Source organism: Homo sapiens, chromosome 5, assembly GCF_000001405.40.
Source record: "Homo sapiens chromosome 5, GRCh38.p14 Primary Assembly".
Taxonomy (NCBI): domain Eukaryota; kingdom Metazoa; phylum Chordata; class Mammalia; order Primates; family Hominidae; genus Homo; species Homo sapiens.
In genome coordinates this window covers 174,709-196,616 of record NC_000005.10, presented here as the reverse complement: position 1 = coordinate 196,616, position 21,908 = coordinate 174,709, and the positions used below count along the sequence as shown (strand labels likewise).

The 21,908-nt window shown below is 56.2% G+C and overlaps 2 protein-coding genes and 1 long non-coding RNA gene across 3 annotated transcripts in view, besides 6 other annotated features; 1 reads left to right on the top strand and 2 right to left on the bottom strand.

Moving 5' to 3' along the window:
- Positions 283 to 5,122, bottom strand: LRRC14B (leucine rich repeat containing 14B). Its single transcript, NM_001080478.3, has 2 exons — positions 4,180 to 5,122; positions 283 to 1,909 (listed from the first exon to the last, which is right to left on the bottom strand). Exons 1-2 carry the CDS (start codon positions 5,076 to 5,078, stop codon positions 1,264 to 1,266), a joined length of 1,545 nt encoding a protein of 514 aa, NP_001073947.1. The 5' UTR covers positions 5,079 to 5,122; the 3' UTR covers positions 283 to 1,263.
- Positions 1,890 to 3,889, top strand: LOC124900929 (uncharacterized). The gene is made up of 2 exons (XR_007058670.1): positions 1,890 to 2,255; positions 3,629 to 3,889. It is a non-coding gene; the product is annotated as an uncharacterized LOC124900929 (long non-coding RNA).
- Positions 5,408 to 5,457: an enhancer, noted in NCBI's record as "active region_22270". NCBI's record gives its function as "activates an Ori minimal core promoter by ATAC-STARR-seq in GM12878 lymphoblastoid cells {active_cell/tissue: GM12878}" and the evidence as "EXISTENCE:reporter gene assay evidence [ECO:0000049][PMID:35858748]".
- The window catches only part of PLEKHG4B (pleckstrin homology and RhoGEF domain containing G4B), a 97,799-nt gene continuing 82,541 nt past the window's right edge, over positions 6,651 to 21,908 (bottom strand). Inside the window, exons 19-20 of the mRNA NM_052909.5 lie at positions 14,942 to 15,103; positions 6,651 to 14,613 (exon numbers count right to left, since the gene is read on the bottom strand). Of these exons, the coding sequence (NP_443141.4) occupies positions 14,294 to 14,613; positions 14,942 to 15,103 (482 nt within the window). The 3' untranslated portion in view covers positions 6,651 to 14,293. The remainder of the gene's footprint in view (positions 14,614 to 14,941; positions 15,104 to 21,908) is intronic.
- Positions 7,523 to 7,662: an enhancer, noted in NCBI's record as "active region_22269". NCBI's record gives its function as "activates an Ori minimal core promoter by ATAC-STARR-seq in GM12878 lymphoblastoid cells {active_cell/tissue: GM12878}" and the evidence as "EXISTENCE:reporter gene assay evidence [ECO:0000049][PMID:35858748]".
- Positions 7,709 to 8,003: an enhancer, noted in NCBI's record as "tiled region #11960; K562 Activating DNase matched - State 4:PromP". NCBI's record gives its function as "activates a minimal TATA promoter and a strong SV40 promoter by Sharpr-MPRA in K562 cells {active_cell/tissue: K562}" and the evidence as "EXISTENCE:reporter gene assay evidence [ECO:0000049][PMID:27701403]".
- Positions 7,963 to 8,142: an enhancer, noted in NCBI's record as "active region_22268". NCBI's record gives its function as "activates an Ori minimal core promoter by ATAC-STARR-seq in GM12878 lymphoblastoid cells {active_cell/tissue: GM12878}" and the evidence as "EXISTENCE:reporter gene assay evidence [ECO:0000049][PMID:35858748]".
- Positions 10,229 to 10,523: a silencer, noted in NCBI's record as "tiled region #15179; HepG2 Repressive non-DNase unmatched - State 10:DNaseD, and K562 Repressive non-DNase unmatched - State 20:ReprD". NCBI's record gives its function as "represses a minimal TATA promoter and a strong SV40 promoter by Sharpr-MPRA in HepG2 and K562 cells {active_cell/tissue: HepG2 | K562}" and the evidence as "EXISTENCE:reporter gene assay evidence [ECO:0000049][PMID:27701403]".
- Positions 14,356 to 14,856: an enhancer, noted in NCBI's record as "H3K4me1 hESC enhancer chr5:181876-182376 (GRCh37/hg19 assembly coordinates)". NCBI's record gives its function as "activates a minimal SCP1, AML or CMV promoter by ChIP-STARR-seq in naive H9 embryonic stem cells {active_cell/tissue: H9 hESC(naive)}" and the evidence as "EXISTENCE:reporter gene assay evidence [ECO:0000049][PMID:30033119]".

The following is a 21,908-nucleotide window of genomic DNA, read 5'->3' as shown; positions in this document are numbered from 1 at the left end:
GCAGCAGGGGTGGGGGCACACCTGGGGAGGGGGTGACACGGGGCCCCCTGGGGTGGGGACACACTCGGGGTGACATGGGGGCCCCCGGGTTGGGGACACACTCGGGGAGGGGGTGACACCTGAGGAGGGGATGACATGGGGCCCCTGGGGTGGGGACACACCCGTGGTGGGCGCTGTCATGAGGTGTGACTTTTGAGCGGAGCCATGGACACACAGTGACTCAGATCCCTGGTTTTGGGTCTGAGAACGACTTAACCACACCAAGCACTGACCTGTCTGAACTGCACTGAAAGACGCATTTTATTTGCATTTAGTTATTCTAGTGCTCAGCCATTTCTTTGCACAAAGTCACTCTTGGTGGACACCAAGTCCAAATGTGTCTTAGGTGGTTGTCAGCTCCTCCAGGGGCTGGTCAAGTGCTAGACCTTCAATTAAACACCCGGAATAGCTCCCGTCAGTCTAAGCCTCAAGCCCCGCAGGACACAGTGAATGTTGGTGAGAAACAGTGGCGCGGTCGGGCAAAGGCCTCCCCGCAGCGCTGACCGCCCTGGTCCAGGCGGCTCTTCAGCGGACGCCTGTGCTCACCCACTCGGATGCCCCTCACGGTTCTGGGGGCTACACAAAGTGAGAAGAAAAGCCACCACTAACAGCAACCAGAAGCCCCGCGTTCCCTGCAGGCCCACCTCATCCCGTAAGCGGCAGGTCCAGACAGCGGGTTGTGACCAGCAGTGGGTGGGAGCCTCCTGCTGGAGGAAGCAGGGTCCGGTTTGCTGTTCATTTTTCGCCTCTTTTTCTCGGTTGTTTTTCATGGGCTGCTTATTTTGTGCAGTTTCTGTGATGTGTTCTCTCTTCCCCTCCCCCTCCCTGCTGTGGAGCCCAGTCACATCTGCCCCCTGAAGCTTCATCTTGCGCCCAGTGCCCAGATGCGCTGAGGCCAGGTCGGCCACTCCTCACACCTCCCGGGCTTCTCTGCTCTTTGCCATGTGGCGTCTGCCCCCGCTGACCCTGTCACTGTCTCTTGGTGGCTTCCCCCGCCTCCAGAACCTTGCCGTGCTGCCACTAAAGGGCACCGCATGGCACCTCTCCTGGAAGGCTTCCTCTTCTACAACGCTTAACAGGCTCGCCTACAATTTTCACTAAGAACTGCTTTTGGTGGTGGTGGTGGTGGGGATGAATGCCGGGCCCAAGCCTCAGATCCAGGACTAAAGCCCGGGGCACCTGCAGGCTGAAATGCAAGACCTGTCACTGGTGCGAGTGGAGGAACTACTCTATTTGTTTGAGTGCTCTGGAGAAGTTTTCTAGAGCAGTTTTGAAAGCTTGCAGCAAGAAAGCACCAAGCTCATTGCTTGTTTCTTGAATGTCTGGGTCAAAACTTCCAAAGAGAGGTGTGGAGACTTGGATGTCCTCTCGGTCAGCCCGCAGCAGCACGGCACGCAGCTCCTCGGCGATCTCGTCGTATTTCTGCTGGTTGAACTTGGACATGGCCAGCTCGTCCTGTGGGTAGGCGGCACCCTCGGGGTAGCAGTCCTTGGGCACCGGGAACTCAATGCAGCGCAGCTCGGGGAGCTCACAGAGTGCGGTGAAGAGGCGCCGGAGGGCGCGGGCCGACAGCGGGTTCCCGAGGAACTTGAGCTGGCGCAGCCGGTGGCAGGGGCTCAGGCCCAGGATCAGCATGCCAACGTGGCTGTCTACGATGCCACACTCCTCCAGTGTCAGGATCCTCAGCGTCCGGGAAGCCTGGCTGAGCAGCCTGAAGAAGGTCGAGGGGTACAGGCTGACCAGGTTGTGTCCACTGAGGTCCAGCACCTCCAGGTGGGCAGCGTGGGCACAGTCTGCCAAGAAGGCCATGTCCGTGTGGTTCAGGGCACAGTTGGCCAGGTCCAGTACTCGCAGCGGGGTCTGTAGGGGGCTGCAGGACACGGGGGAAAGAGCACAGGTGAGAGGAGGGTCCCAGGAAGGAGCCGAGGGCTCAGGCGAATGGGAACAACCCATTTGTCCATCATGGGGTCAACACACAGTCACGTCCAACCACCGCCTAATTTCATACAGCCTATGAGCTAGGAGTGGTTGTTATATTTATATAATAGTTTGTGAAACGTGAAAAGTTACATGATATTCAAACTCGGTGTCCATAAATAACATTTTACCAGAGCACAACCACGTGCATTCGCTTAGTGTTGGCCATGACTGCCGGCCGCCACGTGGTGAAGTCAGCTATACCCAGAGGTCTGGCTTTTGTCCTCAGCACCTAAATGGTAAGTTTGTTTTGTCAACAGCTGCTTTTGTGTTGTCTGAGAAAAGTGATGCATGTGACCACGAGAACGTCCACTCAGAAAGTGGACGGGGTGGGGCAGTGAGACCACAGGACAGAATGTCAGCTCAGAAAGCAGACGGCGGGGGGCAGTGAGACCACAGGACAGAATGTCTGCTCAGAAAGCAGACGGCGGGGGGCAGTGAGACCACAGGACAGTGCCGCTCCACTCTGACAAAGATGAATCCCGCATGGTTTCAGAGCTGGGAAGGGCCATGGAGGCTTCCAGTACAGCCTTTGACTCACCTGGGAACCCTAAAGACCCCCCAACTTGCCCCACATCCCATATTCTGACTTGGTTGGTGTAGGGCAGCCTAGCTCTAATACAGGGGCAGTTGGAGTGAGACCTACTCTGGTTCTGAGCTAAGGGAGATCTCCAGAGCAGAACTGCATCGGGACATGGCCTCACTGTCCTCGCTGAGCCGGGGGACACAGCTGGGGTCTGCCCCATCCCAACCCTCTCCTTAGGAGGCTGCCTCACTCTTCACCCACCTGCACCTGCACCCACCTGCATGTCCCGCCCAGGACATGTCCCTCCCCACCCAGGACTGGGACCACTGCCAGGTGCCCCTGTCCCACCTGAGAAACCACGCCAGGCATGCCCCCTGCCCAAGGTCCCACCGCAGGGCACCTCTATCCCTCAGGACCCACCGCAGGGCACCCCCATCCTTCAGGACCCACCGCCAGGCATCCCCCACCAGGATCTACTGCCTGGTGCCACCCCAGGACCCACAGCCAGCCACCCCCCACCCCAGGACTCACCACCAGGTGCCCCCACTTCAGGACCCACCACCAGGCACCCCTACCACCGCCAGGCACTTCTCCCCAAAACCCACTGCCAAACGCCCCACCAGGACCCACTGCCATGTGCCCCCAGCCCCCAGAACCCACCGCCAGGCACCCCCCAGCACCTGAGGACCCACCTCTAGGTGCTTCCCCAGTACCTACCAGGCACCCCTTCCCCCTAGACCCACTGCCAGGTCCCACCCCCAGGACCCAAAACTGGGTGCCCCCCGGACCCACCGCTAGGTTGCCCCACCAGGACCCATCACCCGGTGACCCCAATACCCACCGCCAGCTGCCCCTCCTTCAGGACCCACCACCAGGCTCCCTCCCAGCACCCATTGCCAGGCACCCCGTTCCCCAGGACCCATCACTGGGCACCCCCCTTGGACCCACCGCTAGGCACTCCCCCTCCAGGATCCACTGCTGGGCACCCCCCTTGGACCCACCGCCGGGCATCCCCCTCACCACTGCCTGAGGCTGCCTTGGCCTGGCCCCTTCCTAGCTGCTGCCCTCTCTGCCTCCTTCACGCAGATCTGCTGAGAGGATCCTGCATAAGCCTCCTGTCCCACCATGGGGAGGTCCATGCAGCATGGAGCCCAGGCCTCCCTCGAGGGAGACTGGGAGGATCCCGCCCTGTCAGGCCTTCGGATGAGATGGCACCCTTGGCCAACAGCAGCCCTGAGCCAAAGGCACCGACAGGCTCAGATTTCTGAGCTGAAATCGTGTTTGCTGTTTGAAGCCCCCAAGTGTTGGGGTGAGTCGTTCATCAACAATAGACAACTCCTCACACCACGTAGGCACTTCTGTTTCGTCTGTTTGGTAATTTCCGTATTCTCTTTTTTTAACTGGCATTCTCTCCACATCCCTAAGTCACACATGGCAGCCCGCTTCTTTCCTGGTGGCTCTGACTTTCGGTGCTCTTGCCCCTTGGCGGGGCCGCTGTCCTGTGGCTGTGGCCACACCCGGAGTGAGAGGCTGGAGGCCGTGTAGCCTCATGGCCTTGGACATGAGCAGGCCCCTGGACGATCTCTCCTTGCCTCTGCAGCCACCAGCCCGCCCTCAGTCCCCTCCCCAAGACTCACCCAAGCAGCGTCGGGATCTTCCCGGTCAGCGTGGAGAAGGCCACACTGAGCTCAGTGAGCTGCGCCATCTTGCTGAGCTCCCGGGCGATGGAGGCGAGGAGGGGGTCCTCGCCGTCGGGAGTGGAGGCGTAGGTGGGGGGTGCATCAAAGGCCTTGGTGGGCAGGGTGAGCGAGGCCAGCCGGGGGAAGCCCACCTGGGCCAGAAGCTGCTGCACGTGGCCCGCATGCAGCCGCACGTTGTGCACCACCTCCAGCTTGCGCAGGGCACCCGGGCCAGCCAGACGCAGCACGTGCAGGAGCTGGCTGGGGCTCAGGCTGTCCGCCCGGAACGAGGGGCAGTGCACCCGCAGAGGGGCCGGGCCCGCTGGCCTCAGAGCCTGCACCACCGCCTCGAAGTTGCCCTCAGTGACGAAGAGGTCGGCGAGGACCTCGACGGGGCGCCCGGCTGCGAGGGGCTCTGCCTGCAGCTCACAGCAGGTCCTGGCCAGCAGCTGGGTGCGGCCCCACCTGCCCAGCGCCCTCCCGCACGGGCACCGCTGCACCTGCACATCTCGGATGCCCGTGAGGTCAGCCACCCGCAGCCGCCGGCGGCTCCGGTCCTGCAGCACGTGGTCCGCGAGGCCGCGCACCAGCGCCTCCAGGCAGGCCCTGCAGGTTCTGTCGCGCAGGTCCTGGGGGTGGTCGGCACCAGGACCCAGCAGCGCTCCCAGCCGGAACTCCTCCAGGGGCCAGCGCCCCAGCACCGCGCGCGTCACCTCCGCCTGCTCCAGCAGGTAGCTGGCTTTGAACAGGAGTGGGTAGAGGTTGTGGGCCACGCTGTCCAGGCTCTGCCGGGCCACCTGGGGGTGGGACACCAGAGCTTCTGCAGAAATGAAGCGGAGTGACCTCATTGTGTCCATGGCCCGAGACAGGACCGCTCCCCACGACTTTCCCCAAGGCGTGTGCCCTTCACGCCTATCTTTAGCTGCAGCAGCTGTGAGCAGCCTGCCCTGGGGGCCCTGCCACGGGGCCTTATGATCATCTGACTGCTATTTTGGTCCTGGGACACCTGCGTCTGCCCGGCCTCGGGGCACGCAGCCGTTGGGAGCTGCTTGGCTCAGGCACCCAGCCGTTGGGAGCTGCTTGGCTCAGGCACCCAGCCGTTGGGAGCTGCTTGGCTCAGGCACCCAGCCGACACAGAAAGGCAGCCCGTGCCCATGGCAGGGCTGGGCAGAGAAGCCTGTGCTCCATGCTGCAGAAAGCCAGTCTTGGCAGGCGTTCGTGCTGGCGGCCGGTGAGGCCAGCGGGCAGGTCCTGTTTACCATCCAAGCGGGGCTACTGCCCAGCTCTGGGCACCTCCCCCACCAGTCAACGGGGCAGAGAACAGGCCAGGCCCCTGCGCCTCACTCGGTAACCAGTTCCCTTTCCACAGTGGCCTCTGGGGCCGCTCCCACACTTCGCCTCGCATCTGGGGTGAGACGAGTGGCCAGGAATGGAGCTGCTGTTTTGCCCCTTCCCTGTGCCTTTCCTTCTCCCCAAGGACCCGGCGGGGGTGGCTTCCCTACTTTCCATGGGAGAGAGTGGCTGGGAGAGGTGGAGCCTCCCTGATGGCCTCGGATGAGCCCCCAGCTCTCTCTGAGCTGCAGTGTCCTGTCTGCAACCCTGCCGCCTGTGCGGCAGGGAAAGCTGCAGGGAATGGGATACACCTGTGTTGGGGGGCGGTGCCTGATGGTTCACTCCCAGCACTGACCGTGTTGGACAGCTGATGGGTGCTGCACTCACCTCTCCCCGTGACACTGCCACTCAGGGCAGGGTCAGCACACATCGCTGCACACATCACTGCACACATCACTACAGGGCACCACGTGTCCATGGGCTTTGGAGGGTCACGGCCATGAGACAGAGGCTGAGGGAGACTGAGAGAAGTGAGTGACGGAGACTGAGACAGAGACAGAGGGACAGAAACTAAGAGGGAGAGAGACAGAGACTGAGGGAGAGAGAAAGGGAAACAGAAAGAGACAGACTGAGAGAGAGACAGAAAGGGAGAGACAGAGACTAAGAGAGAGAGAGAGAGACTGGTAGGCAGAGACAGAGACTGAGAAAGACAGACAGACGGGGAGACAGAAAGAGAAACAGCAGTGGGAGGGGGAAGGCTGCTGAGCAAGCTTGGAGGGTGCTGGTCATGGGTGCCCCACCAGCCTCCCTGTCTGACCCTCCCCAGTTTGTTCCCTGAGCCTGAGCAATGCCTCTCCCCGGGAGGCGACCCATGCAGAAGGGACTGTGCTCCGTTGTGGGGCCCAGGCACTGTCCAGCAGGCGGAGGTGTGTGTGAAGAGGTGGGTGGGCCCTGACCCCACCCTTCAGGGGTGGCCGCCCTCGGCCAGCCGATGTGGGCCCCCGGGCTCCCCTCATGAGGTGCACAAGAGGTTTCCCCAGACACACGGCCCCTTTCCAGGACCAGATAAGAGAATCTCGAAGGACACAGTAGAAAAACATGTTCCATTGGTTTTTATGATTAAAATTTTTAACAATTCAGTATTGATACAAAGTAAACACTTAACAACAGTGGCAGGTAACGCCATTTCCCAGACACCTTTTGGGTTCTGAAAAGTGGTTTCCAGAACCTTCCTTTACCTACTCGGGCTCTGTGTGGCCCAACACCCTGCTGTCACTGCGGGGCCCCTGGGTCTCGGAGGGTGGAGACCATGGCTAGGAAGGTCAGCCAAGGTCTGGGCCCCTGCAGCCTCCCTCTCGCTTACTGTTTTCCCTTCTTTTAGAGAGGGGTGGTCCTCTTGGGGTTCCCATTCCAGCAGGACCACTCAGCACAGGTTGGGTCAGACTCAGGCCCAGCTCTGGCGCCGCCGTCCCAACCTGGGGCCACGGCTCTGGGCTCCTTACAGGAAATGCCATGACAAACAGGCGTTCTTTCTCAGACCTAACTCAAGTGCTGTCCTGCTAACTACATGGGACCTGCTGAAACCGAAATGAACCGAGATTCCAGTTCTGTGCAGAGATGGCTGGACCTGCGTTGGGGACATGCCTGGACCACCCAGCCCACTGGCCTTCACTGGTCTGAAAGGTTGTGAGGTACACTGGTCCTAGGATGGCTCACCACGGCTCTGAGACACTGTGAGCCCGGCCATGGGCGGTGGACACGGGGTGAGGGGGTCTGGTGTTCCCACCCTGGGTCACCCCATGACCTTTGGAGGGCAGGAGGGTTCCAGGCTGCAGGAGCATGGGGGTCTGCAGCTGGCAGGCACTGCTGAGTCCCTGCTGGACCAGGGGTAGAGGAACCATCCAGGAGGAAAGCAAAAGAGGCCAGGCCTAGGGGGCAGGGCCCATTATGGGCGACTGCAGGCCCCGAACGGCAATGCTGACCATCGGTGTGCGCAGCCCCTGCCTGAGACCTTCATTTCCAGGCCCGTGCACAAGTCTGGCTCTCGAGGACTGGGGCACTCCCTGGAGGACCCACCTCCATCCCAGCTGTCAGAAGAAAAACTGCTGTTACTCACGTCGCACGGGCCTCTCCCTAGGACCCGCTGGCCCCTCAAAGCTGTGACAGCACAGACGTGGCCTGGCACCCAGCAAGGCCTCTGACACCTGATACACACGGTGGGGCCAGGCCGGATGGAGAGCATCGCTGAGCCTGCCTCTGGTTCCAAAGCTCGGGAGGCTCCTCTGCGAGGCCACCTTGTGGTGCAGAGTGGATCTGCAGCTTGAGGGGAGCTCCAGGTCCCAGCCAGACGGGGCGTGGACTCGGCGGCAGCTCCACCCAGCTGGTGTCATGGGCGTTCTGTGGGCAACAGGGTTTGGACCCTAAAAGTGCCGGTTCTGTCTGCTGCTCTGATCCGGAACAAGAGCGTCTGTCTCGTAGCAGCTACATGTGTGACACAAAAGCTCTCGTCATTTCACACGCGGTGTGGAAAACATTCTCTATGTCACAGGCACACAGAACCCACATTCACCTATCGTTTTGTAATTAAATCTTGGACCTACGCCCCAGGTGGTCAGTTCGGGCTCAGCCAAGGTGCTAATCCCCCAGGGATGGTGGGAGCAGCCTGGACCCTGGCCGTTTTCTTCTCCTGGGTCTCAGGGTGGGTCAGCATCTCCCTGCAGGGTCGGTCCTCTGTGAGCCCCCCCAGGACATCAGGCAGGTGTGAAAACTCTGACACAGCACGCAGTCTGGGAAGCATGAGTAACAAAGCCCCCACGTGGGTGACCTTGGGAGAGGCGTGTCCCCAGGATGGAGCCTTCTCTGAACGGGAGGCTGGAGCTTTCTCCTTATGGGGGCTGCTGAAGGCCCAGGGCAGGCACACCAGCGCCGCCAGCCCCAGGACCTCTGGTTGGCAGCAGAATCCGTCCTCTGGCAGTGGCCCTGAGGGCTCCTGTTTCCTGTGGTCAGAGCACCTGGCAGGGGGCTCCTGAGAGCAGGGCGGGGGCAAAGGGGGGCCAGGGATGCCTGGATCCTGGGGGAGCTGCTCCTGACAAAGGAATGCTCGAGGGAACCCGGGGAGGTGGGGTGGCCTCCTGCTGCCCTCTGACCTGACAGGCGGACCTCCTGGGAAGACGACCACCCTGGGGCCAAGGGTCCCCTGCCTCCATGTGACCCTGCCAGCCCTCTGGGTGCACTTGGTTACCAGGATGTTGAGGCTTGAGACCTTTGGGAGCTACAGGCGGGCCGGGGAGGGAGGCTGCCCAGCAGATGCTTGATGGGGGTGGGGCCAGGCGAGCTGTTGCTTCAGAAGCATCTAGAACAAGGCGGTGAGCTGGTCAGGCAGCCTGGTGGTGGCGGCAGGCCAGGCGATGTGAGCTCCCCTTGGCTACTTTAGGGTCAGCCAAGGAAAGGTCTTTCCTTATGTAAGGAGCATTTTGCCTGTCAGAAAACCAGCCTGAGGCCTGAGGCTTGGGGGTTTTGTTCTGACCACAGGGAAGAAACTGCTGGGTGGAATGGTGTTGGCATGAGGGGTCTGGGGACGTGGACTCTCCAGGGCGTGCCATGCTCCATCTAAGTCTCTCAGGTTCTTAGGGCTCCCTCAAAACCCAAACCTCCACTGCTGCTGCCATCCAGGAGGGGCCCGGGCATCTCCCCAGAACCGGGGATGGACGCAGGCCCAGCTAAGCCACAGCCCTCACGACACCTGGCAAAAGAAGAGGTCTCTCTGGAAGGTGATGGGGATGCGGCTCCCGTCTGATCAGCCTCTCCTGAGTCGCCTCCCTGCTGTCCTCAAGGGGATGACATCTGTACCTGCCCGGTTGTGTCTGGGGCAGATGCCGGCACCCCTTCCTCACCTCTGAATGTAAAAACACTCTTGCTGGGCACTGGGGAGCCTTGTAGACTCATCCACGAATGGGGTCAATCTGAAGGCCGGCACCCTGGGGCCGTGGGAGGGTCCTGGGGAGGGCTAGAGCTCACTGCGGGAGCCCCAACCTTGTCCAAGCACAGTCCCAGGATGGCTCCTCCCAGGGCTTGGTTTAGAAACCACCTCGCTGACCACCAGCCCTGAGCATTCAGGATGGTGGGGCCACACACCCTTCCTGGGGGTCCCAGTACTGAGGTGGGGGAGGAAATCACACACCTTCCCAGCTCCCAGTGCTGAGGCATGGACGGGGGGCAGGAATCCCCACACCATCCCTGGGGGGTCCCAGTGCTGAGGCGTGGGTGGGAGTGGTGGAGCTCACCACCCAGGATTGCTCAGGCAGCTTGGAAGGAGGCACTGGTGGTCGAGGCGAGGGGGCCGCTGTGGGGCTGTGGCCACAAACCCTTCCTGGGCAGGGCTGGGGAGGCATCAGGAAGTGACTCTGGGAGATGCTGGGCCAGGCCAGGGCTCCAGGGCTGTCCCTCCACGTGCTTGGCGACGACTCCGCGCTAGCGTCACTGCGGATGGGGACGCATCGGGGCTGTCTCCCACGTCCCCTGTGGGCCCCTCAGCTCCCAGCGCCCCCAGTGCTGGGCGGAAGTGGCCTCACGTGGCGGGGTGAGTGACCCTGAGGGACCCAGTGGCCGCCTCTCCCACTTCTCAGCACCTGCTTCAGCTCACGGGTCCAGAACCCTGGAGAAATGAGAACACGTGTTCGCCATCTAAATGAAACCTTCGTGTCTGCTGGTGAAGCCCATGAGGCCTGATTCAGACAGAAGCATTACTCTGCCTGGAAACAGGTGTTTCCTAACCCTGCCTTCTGGAAATCAGAGCCAAATCCCAGTGTGGACAGAAGGCCAGAGAGAGAGGTGCCCAGGGCCAGCTGGTGTGGACGTAACTCGGTGGGCCTCTTCTGCCAGCAGGAAGCCTCTGTTTCACACCAGGGCTGGCTCCAGGACAGTTTGGAGTGCACGAGAAACTCAAAAAACAGAAAATGAGGCCAAAGAGCCCCATGGGTTAAATAAAAAGCAGGAGCAAGATGGCCTCCCAGGGCTGGGCACCTCCTTCCCCACAGACACCTCAGCCCTGCAGGGTGGCCTTTGCATCTGCCCAGACCAAGTCACAGGCTGAGGGGTCCCGGCCGTGGGGATGCATCCCACAGCCCGATGGGTCGTGGGGCTCCCGTGGGGCTGGTGTGGCTCCATTCCCACATCCAGGCTCCATGCTATCAGGAGAGAGAGACCCATCTTTTGACTGGAGGCTTGTGCCAGCCCAGATGGGAGGCACCAAGGTCCTGGGAGGCCCAAGGACGTGTTCAGGATGGCGCAGTCACTCCTGCTGGCCCTGCTGGCCTGGGCATATCCCCAGCCTTGCTCCCCAGTGGGTTGGCCACAGGCATAAGCTGTGCCCCTGCACCTGGCCCTGCCCCCTGCACACCTGGGCCCCCAGCAGCCTCCTCTTCCACAGGCGTAGATGCCTTCTGATTTGAAGCAACACGCTTGAAGTGGCTTTCACGGGGGCAGTGGCATTTGGGTTCCTGAGGGCACCTGTCCCAGGCAGTGCCAGAGTGTGGCTAGAGCCTGGGCGGCCTCTGGGGCTGTGTGATGGTGGCTGTCCATACTCAGGACGCAGAGGTAACGACTTCTGTGGGCACAGCCCCTGCCTCCCAGGGGAAGTGCTGTGTGCATGATTGTACTTTAAAAAAATACTGCTTTGTTGGGATTTAAGCGACATACGATCCACTGCACATCTTTAAAGCATGCAGTTTGACAACTCTGGACATAGAACAGACCCGTGAAGTTACTCATGTGGTCACCAATTCAGAGAGCAGGCCTGTCTGTGGCTTGCCGGCGTCCTGCGCCCTGCTTGTGTTTGCTGTGATGGCCAGTGGCTGCTTCAGTCTCTCTCCACTTGTCTTCTGTGTCGCCCCCAAGTCCATTCTTCCCTTTCCCTCTTTCTCTACGTATTTTTGGACTGGATTTTTAAAAATTCCATTTTATCTCCTCTGTTGGTCTATTAGCTGTAATTCTTTGTTAGTGGGTGTTTCAAGGGTTTATCAGTACATCTTTAGCTTACCACAATCTACCTTCAAGTGATACCCCTCACTTCACGTATCACATCCAGCGTCTCCCAGCCATCACGCTGCTGTGGTCACACAGTTTACCTGTGCGTATAGTACAAACCGCAGATACGTTAATACTTTTGTTTAAACAGTCAGTTAACTTTTATTTATTTTTAATAGAGATGCGGTCTTGCCATGTTTCCCAGCATGACCCCCCAGTTCCTGGGCTCAAGTCAAGTGATCCTCTGGCCTCAGCCTCCCAAAGTGCTGGGATTAGAGACATGAGCCACCGCACCCGGCCAAGCCACTCATCTTTTAACCCATTTCCCGTTTAGAGAAAAAAAAAGTGCAGCTCACTGCCAGCACTCATTCCTTGGGGCAAATGGGAGATGGGCTAAAGGGATTTAAATAACGAGGAAAATCCTGGATGGTGCACATGCTCTTCATTTTTCTTTTCCCTGAAGCACATCATTTAACATTTCTTGTAGTGCAGGTCTGCTGGGGATGAAACTCTTAGTTTCTGTGTGTATGAAAATGTCTTTATGTCACCATCGCTTCGGAAAGATTTTGTCAGGTACAGAATGTGAATTTGGCAGTTTTCTCCTTAGTACATTCCACTGCCTCTCACCCATGCTGCTCCTGAGGAGTCAGCCATCCTCATCAGCTTTGTGCCTCCCAACAGAACATGCCCTTGTCCTCTGACTGGTTTTAGGATTTTCTGTTTATCACTGGTTATATGCAATTTGATTATGATGTGCACTCGTATCTCTTGTGTTTGGAGTTCACTGGGTCTATGGACTCAGACTTATACCAGTGGCCCCCAGGTTCTCAGGCCTTTGGCCTCTGAGAATTACACCACTGGCTTCCCTGGCTCTGAGGCTTTAGGACTCGGACTGGGCACACTAGCAGCTTCCTTGGGTCTCCAGCTTGTGGATGGCCTATTGTGGGGCTCTTGACCTGCCAAAATTGTGTCAGCCAATGCCCCTAAGGCCCCTCTCATCTGTCTGTCAGTCTATCTATCTATCTATCTATCTATCTATCTATCTATCGATCTATCTATCTATCTATCTGTCTGTATATATATCTAGCTATCTCCTATTGGTTCTGTCTCTCTGGAGGCCCAACAAATGCAAATAGTTTCCACTGATGTGTCTTCAAGGTGCCTCATGGTCTCTTCTGTGAAATCCAATCTGTTACCCCATCCAGGATAGTTTCCACTGTCAATATTGTAGTTTCTCATCCCTGTAAGGTCGGTCTGGGTCTTCTGAATCTCTTCCATTAAGTCATTTCTTAACCTTTTTTGTGAGACAGAGTCTTGCTCTGTCGCCCAGGCTGGAGTGCAGTGGCGTGATCTCAGCTCACTGCAAACTCCGCCTCCCGGGTTCATGCCATTCTCCTGCCTCAGCCTCCCAAGTAGCTGGGACTACAGGCGGCCAACACCATGCCCGGCTAATTTTTTGTATTTTTAGTAGGCGGGGTTTCACCATGTTAGCCAGGATGGTCTTGATCTCCTGACCTCGTGATCCGCCTGCCTCGGCCTCCCAAAGTGCTGGGATTATAGGTTCTTAACTTTAACTTTCTGGACGCCTGGGCTGCGATTTCAGCCACAGTTTGAATTCTGTGATTCTAGCACAGACGCTGGCTCTGGGTGGTTGGCTTTGCCAGGCGACTCTCCTTGGAGTGTTTGCCCTTGGCTGCTCCTCTGCACGCCTGGCACTCCGAGGTCAGGCACTGTGAGTTTACCTTGCAGGGTGTGGACACTTTGGTAACCCCTAGATCATCTGGAGCTTTGTTCTGGGATAAAGTGAATTATCTGGGAATGGTTTGATCATTTTAGGTCTTGCTTTTATGATTTTGTAGGCGAGTCAGGAGCAGGGCTCAGTCTAGGGCTAATTATCCCCATTCCTGAGGCAAGATTTTCTGAGAACTCCACCTAATGCTCACAGATTGGGAGTTTTCCTAGTCTGGCTGGTGGGAGTGGGTCCTGTCCCCAGCCCACATGAGTATCAGGAATTGATCTATTGAGAGTTTCCCTAGTCTGGCTGGTGGGAACGGGTCCTGTCCCCAGCCCACATGAGTACCAGGAATTGATCTTTGGTCTTTTCAAAGGTTGCTCCCAGCCTTGGTAGCCTCCCTGTTTGAGTGTGCGAATGGGTAGCAACCCACTAGGTGCTGGAGGGGCTGATCTGGTGAGTCTTTCCCCATGCAGGCATCTCTCTCTGGCACTCTGACCTGCCAACTCCTGCTGACTTGGTCTCTTCAACTCACGGAGGCTGCTGGGCTCTTCCTGGGCCCCTCCCTGCACTGAGGCCTGCAAACTCTCAAGGCGGAGGGAGGTCTGAGGCCATCACCGGGCTCACCTCCCGTTTTCCTGTCTCTCAGGGATCGCGGTCCTTTGTTGCCAAATGTCTTGTGTCTTGACATCTTTTGTTTCATGTTTAGTCTTTTTTTGTCTTGTTTTAGGTCTGTTTCCTATGCTGTTGTCTTGGGTGGAAGTGGAAGGTTTGTTTTTTAAATAAGACAAAATTATAAATTTGTTTGAAAATGTTAGGGAATGTCTAAAATCCTGGGAAATACCTGGACACCTGCTGTGCTATTCCCTCTGGATCGTTCCAGCCACGCGATGGGCACCGCCACCCCCAGAGTCATCAGGCCTGGCGTGCTGCTCCCTCTGTATTGTTCTAGCCACATGATGGGCACTGCCACCCTGACAGTCATCAGGCCTGGCGTGTGCGGCTCAGCAGCACAGCAGGAGCCCCCTCACACACTGCAGCCTGGGTGCCCGTCTCTAGTTCTGGCTCTGGCTCATCTTCCTCGACGCAGGCTCTGATATCAGATGACCAGGGGCTGTGGGCAGGGCTCCATAGGCCCGGGTGGGCTGGGCTGGAGGACACAAGCAGGCCCAGCGACCCCAGGATGGAGGAGGACTGGCTGCTAGAAGAGGAGGTGCTGCTGTCTGAGATGGTGGAGTGTGGTCGCTTGAAGGGGGCGGCGTGGTCAGAGGAGGACACCGCTGTGGACCCTCTCATTTGTGACTCTGGAAAGGGACAGAAAGCACGTCAGGCTGGCTTCCGCTCCAGAAGTGCAGCCCAGGTTCGGGAATGGGATCAGAGCCGTCTGAAAGGCCGACCAGGCTTTGCCACTGCAGTCATGCCCATCCAACCCACCATGTCGGCCACTGGCCCAGTGCCCTCTGCAGGATGAGTGAGGGCGGGGCCGAGGCCACCGTACCCGTGTCCTTGACGACAGGCCTGGTGCACTCTGTGGGCGAGTGAGGGTGGGGCCGATGCCACCGTACCCATGCCCTTGATGACAGGCCCAGTGCCCTCTGCAGGGTGAGTGAGGGCGGGACCGAGCCACCGTACCTGTGCCCTTGACGATGCTGTCGGGGACTCGGTCGCTCATCACTGCACATTTGGGAGCCCGGTCGCTTATCACTGCACAGTCAGGGGTCCGGTCTCTGGGCTTGACATCCATGAATGGCTGGTTGCCTATACCCATGGATGCCATTTCTTGGATTCTGAGTTCTAAGACAGAAGAAAGTATGACAGTTTCCAAAGCAACTCGGGGGCTAATGCCACCCCAAAGACGCCCGGTACCCCTAATGCCCTCAGCCCAAACCAGGAGGGTGTACAGGGTATACCCACCCTGCCCCACGAGGGGCATGGGGGGCCAGGGTGCTGAGGCTTCCCATTCCGGTTTTCGGCACCAAAGAGATCTCTCCCAGGGAGCCCGAGGCAGTAACCAAGAAAAAGGAAGCCATGAGGCCTTGGAAACGGCGTGTCCAACCTGGGGGTGAGGAAGGGTTCCTGTCAGCTGGTAAGCAAGGGAGGGCCACACAGCAGGTCCCAATTAGAGCAGGGGTCAGAGGCCTGGGAGCCGTGTCCATGGGAAAGACAAAACAACAGGTTTCTAGGAGTTTGAATATTGAGAGGAGAGCTAAGCATAAGGTGAGAGTTTGGGAATGAACTTATTCTTGGTCAAATTAAGCAAAGAAAAAAGATGATATTAATTGTAAGGAAAATGTATGAGGACAGAAAACATAATTGCATGTATGTAGTCCTAATGCCTATGCTGAAGAATATTATAGTAAGAATTGTTTTCCAGAGGTCTTGGGAGAACGGGAAGAAGTGCGGTGTGTGTGTGCTACAGTCACAGAGTTACTGATCATCTTCACCAATAGGTAATGTGCAAAGCTGGTTTATCAAGAGCGAGTGTCCCCTCTTGCAGGGAAAGGGCTGAGTGTGGCTGCCCGGGACACAGGGCTTGGAGTTGGGCAGTGAACAGGACATTGCTCTTCCCCTAACTCCGAAGGCTATTTTAGGGTTAGAGCTGTGCACGTGGACGCGGGACAGCTTCCTGCTCTGGCTGCAGTGGGTTTGCTCGTGTACCTTACATCCAAGCCCACGGCCAAGAACAACCAGAAAAGCTGGACACACTTTTTGAAGGTTTTCTGGAGGTGACAAGGCAATCTAGCCTCAAAGGGCCAATGTCCTGGGCAGATGTGGCGTTCACAGGCCACTGGAAACTTGACACCTTTCTACCCCTCAGGGCACTGCTGGTGGCCGATGAGCAGAGAGCTCATCTTGGAGCTTGGAGGCTGAGAGCTTCTGAAAACGCACAGGGTGGGGAGATAAAATCTGGAATTCAAGGACCACTGGGAGGAAGGGCCTGGGAAACTCCCAGACATTCAGTGGGGACCTGAAAAGGGAGCATGGACTTTGCCAGGAGTGGGACAAACGGAAGCTGGATCAGCTGCCCAAAGGTCTGAGGCGGACTTCATGCAGTCCCTCCCCGGAGTGCATTCAGATGAACCACCCCTGCTCTTCCAACAAAAATAAATCCTCTGGAGGTGAAGACACCAGCCCGGGCCTCAAATGATCCTTACACATTTCCTACATCATATCTACTACTTAATAAAAAAATTATCAGGCACACCCAGAGAAAGGACAAAATGAGGAAAGGCTGAGGAAAACCCCAGATAATTAAACATCCACGAGATAAAGGTTTGGACGTCTCAGACAGGCCGTGGAGGTAACCAGGATTAATGTGGCAGGAAGTAGATCACAGGATAGAGAGTCTCAAAAGGAAACCGAAATCCATCAAATAAAAGGAATCAAACACAAACCTACATATCAAAAATAAACCAATAATGAAATAAGTGAGTTTAATAGCAAAGCAGATCAATGAACTTTAAGATGAGTGGAAAACACACAGAAGCAGGGAAGACGTGATCGAAACATAGAAATCACACGAGAAACATAGGAACATGTAAAAGGGTCATACGTGTAATCGGGAGTTCCAGGTGGAGTGCAGAGAGTGGAGCAGGAGAAGTGATCAAATGTTCCAGAACTAACCCCACGCTCGGACACAGGCAAGGACCACCACGCTTGGCCGTCAGAGCATAGCTGGCCTGGGGACAGCCAGAGAGCTCTCATTCATGGCGGTGGCTGCCCAGGTCTCTCTGCCTGGGGGGTGTTCCCCGCCTTCCTGTGGATGGGACAGAAGCATCAGGTGGTTCACACACCAGGAGGAGCCTCAACAATGAGGGACAGGAGTTGGCAGAAAAACACCCAGGTCCTTCAGTATGTGGGGGTCCCTCAGCATGTGGGACAGTGCCTCAGTGTGCCTGTCTTCCAGAGGGTGTGTGCAAGGACCTGCCCATCAATCACCCTCCATGGCCTTCCCCTCCTCTCTCACTCCCCTGTTCTCACCAAATAGGTAGAAAACAAAGAGTAAGATACTCAATTTATACCCAAATTACATTAAATGTAAACACACTACTCCAATTTAAAGACAAGGTTAGTCAAACTAGATAAAAAGATAAAAGTGAAATCAAACATATGCCTTTTACAAGAGACGTATCTCAAATATAAGAACACCAAAAGTTCCAAGTAAGAAGATGGAGAAGTATGTGTCGTGTAAACACTAACTTTGCAAAAGGAAACTGGAATAGCTATATTAATAGGAAGCACAGTTGGCCTTCTGTATCAGTGGGTTCCATATCCACAGGTTCCACCAAGGATCAAAAATATTTGAACAAAAAGCAATTAACAATAAAAGTTAAAAATACAAATAAAAAACCAATATAACAGCTATTTATAAGCATTTTCATTGTACTATGGATTATAAGTAATCTACAGATGATTTAAAGTATATAGGAGCATGTGTGTAGGTTCTATGCAACTACTGTTCCATTTTATATCAGCGACTTGAACAACTGCAGATTTGGGTATCCGTGGGGGAGTCCTGGACCGCATCCCCATGGACATAGAGGGACAACTGTAGATCTAAGGCAAAAGGCACTGCTAAAAATAAAGAGATGCATTTCATTATGATCAAAGAGGCTCTGTTTCTAGGAAGATATAGCAATTCTATATTACTATGCACCTACTAATTTAGCTTCAAAACATAGGAAGCAAAAATTGACAGAACAAAAAGAAAAATAGACAAATTCAAATTTACATCATCATGGGAGATTTTCACATAATTTTCCTAGTAAGTGATAAGCAGCCAAAAAGCCAATAAGGATATAAAAAATCTGAAAAACACAATTTTCAAAACATGATCAGAACTCTGCAATAACAACTACAAAGCACACTTTCTCTTCACGTGCACATGGAAAATTTACCAAAATGCTAGGATATACAACATTTCAAATAATCGAAGCTGTTACAGGTAGTTAGACAGGCATGAGCAGGGCAGGAGAGGCTCCCCCACCCATTGGGAATGTCGGGTGATGGCTCGGCATATTTGCACTGTCTCTCTAAAAGTGGCACCTTGGGAGCCAGTGCCAGGGAGAGGGCGTTTCCTGATGGTCCACACCTGCTGCACTAAAGTGTTAATTGAAGGCAGGTGCCAGGAGAAGCAACTTTGTGCATTAAGAGACAAAATGGTAGAATGTGACCTTTAGGGGGACCCCACCAGAAAAGGGAAGAAAGCCTCAGATGGGGATGCATACAATTTCCTAAGCACACAGGGCATCCTCACGTTCCCCCAACAGAAAAGGGACGAAAGCCTCAGATGGGGATGCCTACAACTTCCTAGGCACACGGTGCATCCTCACGTTCCCCCAACAGAAAAGGGAAGCCTCAGATGGGGATGCATACAATTTCCTAAGCACACAGGGCATCCTCACGTTCCCCCAACAGAAAAGGGACGAAAGTCTCAGATGGGGATGCGTACAACTTCCTAAGCACACGGCGCATCCTCACATCCCAAGGGAAAGGTGCGCACTGTGCACACGGGCAGCCCAGCCTAAGGGGAGAATCATGGGAAAGGGGCTGGCCCAGAAAGTCTTAGGATCAAGGATAAATGGGGCACTCGATCTCGGTGCCCGCTTGGGTCTCTTCCAAGTGTGCTTTCATTTCTTTCCCGCTCTAAAAGCCTTTTTAAATAAACTTCCACTCCTGCTCTGAAACTTGCCTGGGTCTCTTTTTCTGCCTTACATCCCTCAGTCAAATTCTTTCTTCGGAGGAGGTAAGAACTGAGGTTGCTGCAGACCTGTACAGATTTGCCGCCGGTCACTCGGATACCTTCCACAGACAACAAACTCTAGTGTATATTATTTGACCAAAGTGGTCTTAAACTCAAAACTGGTATCACAAAGTTAACTAGAAAATCTTGGAAATTAGGTAATACATTTCTAAATAACCTATGATGAGTCCGAGAATAAATTAAAGTGGAAGTTAGAAAATATACTGAACTGACTGTGAATAGACACATGACATATACAAACTTCTGGGATGCAGCTAAAGCCAGGCTTAGGGGAAAGCCTGTAGTCCTAAATACGGCACAAAAACTAGAACAAAACAAAGGCTCAAATCAATGATATAAGCATCCACCTCAAGAAATTAGGTAGAAAGGAAAAGCAAATGAAACACTGAAAAAGTTAGACACAAGAAAATAACAAAGAGTAGAAATTAATTAAATAGAAAGTAAGTGTGTAGATAATCAATTAAACCAAAATTCTGTTTTCTGAGAAGACTAATTTGGCAAATCCCTGGCAAAACTGGAGAAGTCAAGAGGCCTTAAGTGACCAATGACGCAATGGGGAGGGGGTGCCAGGTCCTAGACACACCTGAAAAGCATTAGGCTCCACTTTCCAGGTGACCCAGCTGTACCTGCAGAGGTTGGTCAGCTCTGTGGCCCAGGCCCCACAGCCCCAGGCCCAGGCAGAGTCCTGTGTGCGTACCCTGTGCTCAGCTGCCCACCTGACCCTGTTTGAGGAAGGCTGTGAAACTAAATAATTTGAACTCAACGCTGTGGGAACTGTAAGTTATTCTGAACCCTGAGAGGAACCCAGCAATGCCGAGTCTCTGAGCATCAGCTGCACCTTCTGCTTTTTCTGGTAAATGGTCAGGGATGACCGGGAAGCACCAGAGATAAGAATCTCTCAGAACAAGCCTCCGCCTCCTCACAGAATGTTAAAGCAATCTTCCTTGGAATGCAGCAACCTGTAGTAATCAAGTTGCTGTCAAGTTGGCTGCAACCGTTTCTGTCTCTGTAAGTGAAGCCTCAGCTTCCCCACTTGCGAGCACGGACCCCGTCCCTTTGGAGGCTGCATTCTGGGGCGGCCATTCTCATGCTTTGCGCTTGAATCAACTTAGTTCTATTTTCTGAATCTGATTATTCAAGGCTGGCAGGGCCTACTTCCTGCAGGCTCCAGGTGCTTGGAACACCAGAGGGGTTGAAATGGACAGATCGACCCCAGGGAGACTTTGTGCACTACAGTCAGGCAGACCCCAAACAGGAAGCAGGACCGTGGGTTACAAAGGAAGGAAAAAGGCCAGGAAGGCTCTTCAGGATGGTGGCATCTCGGAGGTGAGGCCTCTGGCCAAGTAACTGCTGTTGGGGGCTGCACAGGGGTGAAGCCCACGGGGGTGTGGAGTAGCCAGGAGGCTGGGGGCCAGAGGGGGAGCCTGTGGCGACGCCATGGGGCCCCCTGTGTCTGACAGAGCTGGCTCCGGAGTGTTTCAGGGGCCGGTGGGGAGGTGGTGGCTTCACCTGGAGGGGGTCAGGGCTCAGGCGGGGTGCAGCCGTGCAGGAGCCCTGGTCGTGTCTGCCTGGAGGGGTCAGGGCTCAGGCGGGGTGCAGCCGTGCAGGAGCCCTGGTCGTGTCTGCCTGGAGGGGTCAGGGCTCAGGCGGGGTGCAGCCGTGCAGGAGCCCTGGTCGTGTCTGCCTGGAGGGGGTCAGGGCTCAGGCGGGGTGCAGCCGTGCAGGAGCCCTGGTCGTGTCTGCCTGGAGGGGGTCAGGGCTCAGGCGGGGTGCAGCCGTGCAGGAGCCCTGGTCGTGTCTGCCTGGAGGGGGTCAGGGCTCAGGCGGGGTGCAGCCGTGCAGGAGCCCTGGTCGTGTCTGCCTGGAGGGGGTCAGGGCTCAGGCGGGGTGCAGCCGTGCAGGAGCCCTGGTCGTGTCTGCCTGGAGGGGTCAGGGCTCAGGCGGGGTGCAGCCGTGCAGGAGCCCTGGTCGTGTCTGTAGCTTGGGTGCCTGGGTTTTAGGTCTGAGAGGCCAGAGCTGCCAGGGTGGGCTTGTAGGGTAGAGAGGGACAGCTGGGTTTACAGTGGCTTTGGCTACTCGTGAGGTGCTGGGGCAGGACCTGGAGTTGGAGCTCAGTGTGGGAGAAGGTCTGGGGTGGGGGGTGGTTGCTGTGAAGGTGGTGTTCGCAGCCGCCAGGCTGGAGGAATAAGCACAGAGAGTCACCCTCAGTGAAGAAGTCGGTGGGGGGAGCAAACGAGGGTGGACATTGAGGGAGGAGGCCTGGGGAAGGGATCCTAGGGTGGGGAATGAGTGCTCTGGGGAGGGCCCTCTCACCTGCAGGAAGACTGAGGGCTGACCATGAGCTCAGCCTCCCAGGGCCACGGGGGCCAGACCAGCAGGGCAGGGGCAGGAAGTCAACCAGAGGGTTAAACATGGAACCAGACCTGCGGGGGACTCTCTCGGGTTGCCGCAGTGCCTTATGTTCGCTTGTGGACACGAGAGACACGTGTGTGAGTGCTGTCGGGGCCAATCCAAGAGCTTTCTTGTCAAGTGCTGACCGAGGAGCCCCCAGGTGCCCCAGACCGGGTGGGCCTCTTGGGTGCCCATGGGGAAGAAAATGGACAGTGCGGCTACTGGAGGCTCCTCAGAGTGATTAGGCCCTTAGAGAGACTGACTTTGGAGATCGAGTCACGGAGCTCAGCCCCTTCATTTCTGACCTTTTGTTAGAGATTTCCTTGCCTCCCTGTTCCTGGCTCAGACCAGAGAGCCCTGAGACAGAAGACCCTTGGCTATTCTGTCCCTAACGTGGAATGCGAAATATACCCCTCACCCTTACCAAAAAAGAAACGCTGACTG